Genomic DNA, 10,169 nt, shown 5'->3' with positions numbered 1-10,169 from the left:
GCCAATGTAAGTATTTAATGAGTGAAATTGAGGACACTGAAATTACACTGTAGCTTAAAATGTTTAAAGGATGTTATGTTTCTAAATGGTACCAAATATTAGTGAAATACTTCCCATATAAAAAGGATATTTTCCCCCAAGAAATTTAGTTATGTGCACTGATCAAATTTTATTTCTACATTGTTGAAAAAGAAAAGATCTTAAATTAGACAATTTGAAGCTTTCATCTTGATGGTTAGATATCTTTTTTAGCAAAAAGGAAACATAAAAATATGTCTGCAGAAAGATCATTGAACTCTTGACTATCACTCAGCTGAGTGAAATGACAACTGGTTTCCCAGAAGAGGTCTTAATATCATTAAAAGTTTATCTGAAAATTGCTTAATCAGTTTATCAGGAATGCTAATTTCTTCCCAGAAGGAGGTTATGATTTAAAAGGTCTGTCCCAGGCCAGGTCGGGGACAATTTTCTCTTTACAATTTTTTTAAATTATTAACTTTATTAACGTCTTCTAGATTTATACATGAGAAATAAATTTTGTGATCTACTTCTAATTCTAGTAGTTACTAAAAATCTTGATTTTTTGTTTTCCTTTTTTTTCTTAAAAGAAAACCATCTTCAGATTAGACTTTTAGTTACACAAAAATCAACTGCAAATACACTTCCAGCCCAAAATAACCACAAAAATTTATCAAGCAGGATTTCCTGCTTATACAGATTTTTGTATATGTATGTTTACACATATATGTACATATATACACATATATAATGTTTCCATATTAAGTGTGATTTTGTTATGGCTTGCTGTAAAATACACACATATGCACAGGTACCCAGGCTCATTGGACTAAAGATAAAAGATCAGATCCTATACAAGGAAAGAGGGAAGAAGCAGGAATCAGGTTATTACCTCTGTTCCTTTCCTAATAATTAAACCTGACATGTCACATAGGTTCAAACCTACAAACAATAACAAGCAAAATGATTAGTATAGGAAATATTAGGCTATCCCATCCCCATTTGCTCCCAAATCTTCCATCTTGTTTTCCTAGTCCATCATTTATCTTTGTTCCCTAACTTTGATGTCAACCCCTCACCCTTCAGGACCAAAACATTCATTCTCCAAAACATTCATCGCCGAGAATGCTGGGGACTAGCCTCTCTCAGTAAATATCTGTCCCTAGTCTGAGGTAGATTTATGCTCCCCTCCCCAGGAACAGCTTGTGTCTATGGAGATGTGCCCAGTGCAAAGAACTGCAATTGGAAGGCAATTCTGAAGGACCACCCTGCTGGGAGCTCTCTGCAGTTGACTGAGAAGTCTTTGAAAGCTCATCTTTTCTTGTCAGCCCAGTCCTGCTTCCTTCTCCTCCCGCCACACAGACTGTGTTGATTTCAAGAGCATTTCCCAATACCTCCTGCACACAAACCTCCACCTGAGTCTGCTTCCTGCAGCTATGAACTTCAAAGAACGCATGGGTGAATGATTTGGAAGCCTGCCTTCTAGGAGAAAATCGGTCTTTGGTTACTGACCAAAGCCGGGGATGAAGGTAAAGCATTTCATGGTAAAGGGATCAGGAATTCTAAGGCAGCTACGAAGTAGCTGGACCATTTCCTTTATCTCTTCCCCAGCACCATAGATGCCCAAGAAATTGAAACTGTCTGAACTATCTTACCTGCTTTTATCTTAATTTTAATTGCCCTCCCATCCCTATGTATTCTGTATTTAACAGATGAAGTTAATAATCCTTCTAATACCATCAAAACAATTGGCCATCAATGATATTGAAGCTATGAATGTACAGACTATAAAGAACTAGGCTTTGATTCTTATATAATCCCAATAGCAGACTTAAAATCAGGAGAACTTCCACTCCTCAAAGTTGATAACCAAACAATCCTCCCAATAGAAATTCCTATCCAAATATTAATTTCATCTGAAGATGTCCTGCACTCATGAACTCTCCCTTCACTGGGCCTCAAAACAGACGCAATCTGTGGACGCCTAAATCAATCCACCTTAACTGCTACACGACCAGGCCTTTACCACAGATAATGCTCAGAAATTTGTTTTATACTATCATCCAAGAATTAATTCCCTTACAAAATTTCAAAACCTGATCTACATCCATACTATAACATCACTGTAAAGTTATCCAGCATTAACCTTTTAAGTTAAAGACTGAGATGATCTACACCTCTCTACAGTGAATGCCTCAACTAGATACTTCCACATGATTCATTGTTACCCAGTCAATAATCATAACTTATTCTCGATCATTCAGTTAAAATTATCAAGTTTCATTTACCATGTATCTCCTACACCAAAAATAATCAAAACACAAAAACATAAAAACTCCTGAGAATTAAAATGAATGAAAATCTATTCACCTCTTTTATTACCCCAACAATTCTAGGCCTACCCGTAGTAATATTAATCATTTTATTCCCCACCATGCATTTCCAACCTCCAATCACCTAATCAGTAATTGATTGATCTCTATCCAACAATGATTAGTTCAACTTGCACTAAAACAAATAATAACTACCCATAATATTAAAGGACAAACCTGATCCCTTATGCTGATATCCCTAATTCTCGTCATTGCCTCAACCAATCTCCTCGGGCTTCTACCCTATTCATTTACACCAACTACCCAATTATCAATAAATCTAGGTATAGCAGTCCCTTTGTGAGCAGGCACAGTAATCACAGGCTTCCGCTTTAAAATCAAAACCTCCTTAGCTCAGTTTTTATCGCAAGGCACACCTATGCCACTTATCCCTATACTGGTGGTCATTGAAACTATTCACCTATTTATTCAACCAGTAGCATTAGCTATGCGATTAACAGCCAACATTACAGCCGGTCACCTATTGATACATTTAACTAGAGGAGGCACACTAGTATTATCAACTATTAGTATCACCACAGCTTCAATCTCTCTCATTATTCTAATCTTACTGACCATTCTCAAATTTGCTGTAGCTCTTATTCAGGCTTATGTCTTCACACTACTAGTAAGCCTTTATCTACATGATAATACACAATGACCCACCAAACACAAGCCTACCATGTAGTCAAACCCAGCCCCTGACTACTAACAAGAGCTCTCTCGGCTCTCCTAATAACATCTGGCCTGGCCATATGATTTCACTTTAACTCCATTACTCTTTTAACGTTAGATCTACTGACCAATACACTAACTATGTATCAATGATGACATGATGTTATCTGAGGAAGTACATTTCAAAGCCACGATACAACAATTGTCCAAAAAGGTGTCCGATATGGAACAATTCTATTTATTATCTCAGAGGTACTTTTATTTGCTGGTTTCTTCTGGGCATTCTACCACTCTAGTCTAGCTCCAACTCCAGAGTTAGGGGGATATTGACCTCCAACAGGCATTCTTCCCCTCATTCTTTTAGAAGTACCCCTCCTGAATACATCTGTGTTACTTACTTCAGGAGTTTCAATTACTTGAGCTCATCACAGCCTGATGGAAGGTAGTCAAAAGCAAATAATTCAAAAACTAGCTGTCACAATTACCTTAGGCATATACTTCACCCTGCTACAAGTTTCAGAATACTTCGAGGCCCCTTTTACTACCTCTGATTATGGCTCAACGCTCTTTTTTTTTTTTTTTTTTTTTTTTTTTTTTTTTTTTTTGAGACAGAGTTTCGCTCTTGTTGCCCAGGCTGGAGTGCAATGGCATGATCTTGGGTCACTGAAATGTCTGCCTCCCACATTCAAGCAATTCTCCTGCCTCAGCATCCTGAGTAGTTAGGATTACAGGTATGCACCACTACGCCCGGATAATTTTGTATTTTTAGTAGAGATGGGGTTGCTCCATTTTGGTCAGGCTGGTCTTGAACTCTCGACCTCAGGTGATCTGCCAACCTCGGCCTCCCAAAGTGCTGCGATTACAGGTGTCAACGTTTCTCACTATCTGCCTCCTCCGTCAATTAAAATTCCATTTTACATCTAACTACCACTTTGGCTTTGAAGCCACCGCCTGATATTGACACTTCGTAGATGTAGTGTGACTATTGTTATACGTCTCTATCTACTGATGAGGATCCTACTCTTTTAGTATAAGCAGTACCATTGATTTCCAATCAATAAGTTTCTATAATATCCAAAAAAGAGTAATTAACCTGACACTAGCCCTAGTAACTGACACCTTACTGGCCCCAATACCAACAGTTATCACATTTTGACTCCCACAACTTAATATTTATATAGAAAAATCCAGCCCTCATGAAGGTGGATTTGATCCATTAACCTCCGCCCACCTCCTCTTCTCTATAAAATTCTTCCTAGTGGCCACCACATTTCTCCTGTTCGACTTAGAAATCGCTCTACTCCTACCCCTGCCATGAGCCCTTCAAACAAACAACCTGACACTAATAATCAGCACAGCCCTTATACTAGTTACCATTTTAATCCTAGGCTTGACTTAGGAATGAACTCAAAAAGGATTAGATTGAGTTGAATTGGTAAATAGTTTAAATTAAAATGAATGATTTTGACTCATTAGATTATGATAGACCATATTTACCAAATGCCCTTTATTTATATCAATATTATATTAGCATACACCATAGCACTTCTGGGAATATTAGTCTATCGATCCCACCTAAAATCATCCCTATTATGCCTAGAAGGCATAATATTATCAATATTCATTATAATTACTCTTATAACTTTAAATATACATTTCGCTCTAGCATCCACAATACCCATTATTCTCCTAGTATTTGCTGCCTGTGAAGCTGCAGTGGGCCTTGCCTTACTAGTTTCAGTCTCCAACATATACAGCCTAGATTATGTACAAAATCTAAGTTTACTTCAATGCTAGAAGTTATTATTCCAAAAATTATACTGTTACCAATAACATGACTCTCTAAAAACTCTATATGCCGAATTAACATGACTACTCACAGCCCATTCATCAGCCTTATTACGCTACTATTTTTAACCAATTAAATGATAACTCATCTAACTTCTCATTAATCTTCTCCTCTGACCCTCTAACTTCGCCCCTTGTAATCTTTACAACCTGACTACTACCTCTTATAATTCTAGCAAGCCAATATCACCTTTCCAATGAGTCACCCCCATGGAACAAACTCTATATTTCCATATTAATTTCCCTACAAATTTTTTTAATCATAGCATTCACAGCCACAGAACTAATTATATTTTATATTCTCTTTGAAGCCACACTTATTCCTACCCTAATTATCATTACCCGCTGAGGTAACCAATCAGAACGACTCAATGCAAGCTCATATTTCTTATTTTACACACTAGTAGGGTCCCTTCCCCTACTTGTTACACTTGTCCATACTCAAAATACCTCGGGTTCTCTAAATATAACTGTAATAATATTTACCACCCAAGAACTATTAAACTCCTGTTCTAATAATCTTATATGATTAGCATGTATTTTAGCTTTTATGGTAAAAATGCCTCCATATGGACTTCACCTGTGACTCCCCAAAGCCCACGTGGAAGCCCCTATTGCTGGCTCAATAGTACTTGCAGCAGTACTCCTAAAGCTAGGTGGCCACAGTATTATACGGCTTACCCTTACCCTCAACCCCCTAACAAATATATAGCCTACCCCTTCCTCATACTATCCTTATGAGGGATCTTATGACAAGCTCTATTTGTCTATGACAAACTGATTTAAAATCACTTATCGCATATTCCTCCGTAAGCCACATAGCACTTGTTATTATAGCTATTCTCATTCAAACCCCTTGAAGCTTTACAGGTGCAGTCACCCTTATAATTGCCCGTGGACTCACTTCATCCTTACTATTCTGCCTAGCAAATTTGAATTATGAGCGAGTCCATAGCCAAATTATATTACTTGAGGCCTTCAAACACTGCTTCCACTGATAGCCTCTTGATGACTTTTAGCAAGTCTTACTAACCTTGCCTTACCCACTGCTATTAATCTAGTAGGAGAACTCTTCCTCGCTATGGCTTCATTCTCCTGATCAAACATCACCATTATGCTTATAGGACTTAATATACTAATTACAGCCCTTTACTCCTCACATATGCTAACCACAACACAACGAGGGACACTTGTGTATTACATTAACAGTATTAAACCATCCTTTACATGAGAAAATACATTAATACTTATACACTTTGCACCTATCTTCCTATTATCCTTAATCCTTATTATTATGGGGTTTGCATTCTGTAAATATAGTTTAACCAAAACATTAGATTGTGAATCTAATAATAGAAGCCTGTAACTTCTTATCTACCGAGAAAGTATGCAAGAACTGCTAACTCATGCCCCCATGCCTAATAACATGGCTTTCCAGACTTTCAAAGGATAAGAGCTATCCATTGGTCACAGGAACGAAAAATATTGGTGCAACTCCAAGTAAAAGTAATAAACATGTATTTTACCACTACTATAACAACCCTAATCCCCTTAAACTTACCAATCATTACTACCTTAGCCAACCCCTGCAAAAAGATTCATACCCATACTATGTAAAAATATCTATTGCATGCACCTTTATTATCAGCCTCATCTCTACCACAATATATATATTTATAGACCAAGAATAATCTCAAAGTGACATTGAATAACAATCCAAACTCTTAAACTCTCACTAAGCTTCAAACTATACTATTTCTCCACAGTATTTATCCCAGTAGCGCTATTTGTTACCTGATCTATTGTAGAGTTCTCAATATGATATATAAACTCAGACCCTAATATTAATCAATTTTTCAAATATTTACTCATTTTCCTCACCAAAATATTAATTCTAATTACTGCCAATAACTTCTTTCAACTTTTTATCGGATGAGAAGATGTGGGAATTATGTCTTTTTTACTAAATGGCTGATGATACGGCCGAACAGACGCTAATCTAGCAGCCCTCTAAGCGGTCCTGTACAACCGCAGAGGCGATATTGGCTTTATTTTAGCTATATAGCATGATTCCTCTTATTCTCCAACACATGAGAGCTTCAAAAAGTATTTATTCTAAATCCTACCTCCAATCCCTTTCCATTAATTAGTCTTCTCCTAGCAGCAGCAGGAAAGTCAGCTCAATTTGGCTTTCATCCCTGACTTCCTTCCACCACAGAAGGCCCAACTCCAGACTCAGCCCTACTCCACTCTAGCACTATAGTTGTAGCAGGGGTTTTTCTACTTATCTGCTTCTACCCTTGAATAGAAAATAACCTATTATTCCAAAACTTTACATTATATTTAGGGGCTATGACCAACGTATTTACAGCAATCTGTGATCTAACACAAAATAACTCAAAAAAATCATAGGATTCTCTACCTCAAGCCAACTAGGCTTTATAATAGTCACAATTGGCATTAATCAATCACACCTAGCATTTCTTCATATCTGCACCCACAGCTTTTTTTAAAGCTATGTTATTTGTATGTTTAGGACCCATCATCCATAATCTCAATGATAAACAAGACATCTGAAAAATAGGAGGACTATTCAAGACTTTACCCTTCACTTCCTCCGCCCTTATTATTGGCAGCCTCACACTTACAGGTGTGCCTTTCCTCACAGGCTTTTATTCTAAAGACCTCATTATCGAAATCGCAAACATGTCATATTCCAACACCTGAGCCCTTTCTATTACTCTTATTGTAACCTCCCTAACAGCTGTCTGTAGTACCTGAATTATTTTCTTTGCTCTGATAGGACAACCTCACTTCACAACTCTGATTCATATTAACGAAAATAACCCCTTCCTAATTAACTCAATTAAGCATCTAATAATTGGCAGCATCTTAGCTGGATTCCTCATTACCAATAGTATTACTCCTACTTCATCCCCCCAAAAAACTATGCCACTTCACCTAAAACTCACAGCCCTAGGTGTGACTGCCTTAGGCCTCTTACTAGCAATGGAGCTAAATTTTATAACTAACAACCTTAAGCTAAATTATCCATTACAGACATTTAACTTCTCCAATATATTAGGTTTTTACTAGCCACAATCCACCATACAACCCCCCACCTCAAGTCTATTTACAAGCCAAAATCTGGCCTCACTTCTACTAGACCTAATTTGATTAGAAAAGTCCACACCAAAAACCATTTCACAAACCCAAATATCAGCCACCATTACTGTATCTACTCAAAAAGGCCTAATTAAACTTTACTTTCTCTCCTTTTTTATTTTACTCCTTCTAACTCTAAATTATCTAATCTATTACCCCGAATAATCTCATTTGCAACACAAATACTAACAAACAATGTTCAACCAGCAACTACCAGCAATCAACATCCATAACTTTACAAAGCAGCCACACTGACAGAATCCTCATGCAATAACCCCACCCCCTCACCCTCAAAAATTATTCAACTCCACATACTATTAAAATTAATTGTGATGACCATCCCATCATGCTCAACTATTCACTGAATCAACACCAACCCTATTAATAACCCTAATAATAAAGCCCCTCAAATGTCAATAGTTGACCCTCATGTTTCAGGGTATTCCTCAGTAGCCATTGCCGCAGTATAATAAAAAACAACCATTATACCACCCAAATAAATTTAAAACACTATTAACCCCACAAAAGCCCCATCAAAGTTCAACACAATACCACAACCCACAGCACCACTAATAATCATCCCTAGATCTCCATAAATAGATGGTTTCGAAGAAAAACCTACAAATCCTATAAGAAAAAGAATACTTAATACGAATAAAATATATGCCATTATTCCTACACGGACTATAATCATAACTAATGGTATAAAAAAATCATTGTATTTCAACTGTAAGAATGCTAATGACCAAAATACGCAAAACACACCCGCTAATAAAAATTATTAACCATTAATTCATTGATCTTCCCACAGCATCCAGCATTTCTACATGATGAAACTTTGGCTCACTTATTGGTGCCTGCTTAATTCTCCAAATCATCAGAGAATGATTTCTGGCCGTACACTACACATCGGATACCTTAACTGCCTTCTCTTCAGTCACCAATATCAGCCGAGATGTAAATTATGACTGAATAATCTGCTATTTTCATGCTAACGGCGCTTCAATATTTTTCATCTGCCTCTTCCTACATGTTGGCCGAGGTTTATATTATGGGTCATTTATATTTCTAAAAACCTGAAATATTGGCATTATCCTCCTACTCACAACCACAGCAACAGCATTTATAGGTTACATACTCCCATGAGGCCAAATATCATTCTGAGGTGCTACAATAATTACAAATCTACTATCAGCAATCCCATATATGGAAACTGACCTTGTATAATGAATCTGAGGTGGATTCTCAGTTGACAAAGCCACGCTTACACAACTTTTAGCCTTCCGTTTTATCTTTCCCTTCATCATTGCAGCTCTAACAACTGTTTTCCTTTTATTCTTACGTGAAACAGGATATAATAACCTTCAGGGATCTCATCAGACCCTGACAAAATCACTTTCCAACCTTACTACGTAATCAAATATATTCTAGGCCTAACTCTCCCCCTCCTCCTCCTAATAGTCCTAGTACTATTTTCACCTGATCTCCTGAGCCACCTGGATAATTACACTTTAGCCAACACCCTCAATACCCCACCCCACATTAAACCAGAGTGATACTTTTCCATCCCTAACAAACTAGGAGGTATGCTCGCCCTTACATCCTCCATTCTCATTCTAGCAGTTATTCCTATACTTCACACATCTAAACAACAAAACATAGTATTCTGTCCATTAAGTCGATGCCTATTCTGAATCTTAGTGCTGACCTGCTCACACTCACATGAATCGGAGGGCAGTGAGTCAACTACCCTTTTATTATCATCAGACAGACAGCATCCATTATGTACTTCTTTACCGTCCTCACCCTTATACTAATCATTGCCCTAATTGAAAACAAGCTACTTAAATGAAACTGCCCTTGTAATATAATTCAATACTCTGGTCTTGTAAACCAGAAATGGAGAATTTCCTCCCCAGTACAACTCAGGAAAAAAAGTATACCCACTTCACCATCAACACCCAAAGCTGAAATTCTGATTAAACTATTCCTTGCACTTTTTTCAGCACACACTTTAACTACCATGCCAGTATTAATGAACTAGCACTAACACATTAGTGCTCTTATGTACTTCGTGCATTACTGCTAGCC

The 10,169-nt window shown here is 37.2% G+C and overlaps 10 pseudogenes; 8 read left to right on the top strand and 2 right to left on the bottom strand.

Moving 5' to 3' along the window:
- Positions 1,626–2,051, top strand: MTCO2P5 (MT-CO2 pseudogene 5; annotated as a pseudogene).
- Positions 2,369–3,044, bottom strand: MTATP6P5 (MT-ATP6 pseudogene 5; annotated as a pseudogene).
- On the top strand, positions 2,369–3,052 carry LOC124906080 (ATP synthase subunit a-like; annotated as a pseudogene).
- On the top strand, positions 3,048–4,083 carry MTCO3P5 (MT-CO3 pseudogene 5; annotated as a pseudogene).
- MTND3P9 (MT-ND3 pseudogene 9) lies at positions 4,162–4,497 on the top strand (annotated as a pseudogene).
- On the top strand, positions 4,564–4,858 carry MTND4LP12 (MT-ND4L pseudogene 12; annotated as a pseudogene).
- Positions 4,856–6,219, top strand: MTND4P22 (MT-ND4 pseudogene 22; annotated as a pseudogene).
- Positions 6,429–8,216, top strand: MTND5P24 (MT-ND5 pseudogene 24; annotated as a pseudogene).
- MTND6P11 (MT-ND6 pseudogene 11) lies at positions 8,266–8,748 on the bottom strand (annotated as a pseudogene).
- On the top strand, positions 8,817–9,925 carry MTCYBP11 (MT-CYB pseudogene 11; annotated as a pseudogene).

Source organism: Homo sapiens, chromosome 2 (genome assembly GCF_000001405.40).
Source record: "Homo sapiens chromosome 2, GRCh38.p14 Primary Assembly".
Lineage (NCBI taxonomy): Eukaryota > Metazoa > Chordata > Mammalia > Primates > Hominidae > Homo > Homo sapiens.
The sequence above is the reverse complement of the archived record's forward strand: the minus strand, read 5'-3'. Positions and strand labels throughout refer to the sequence as shown.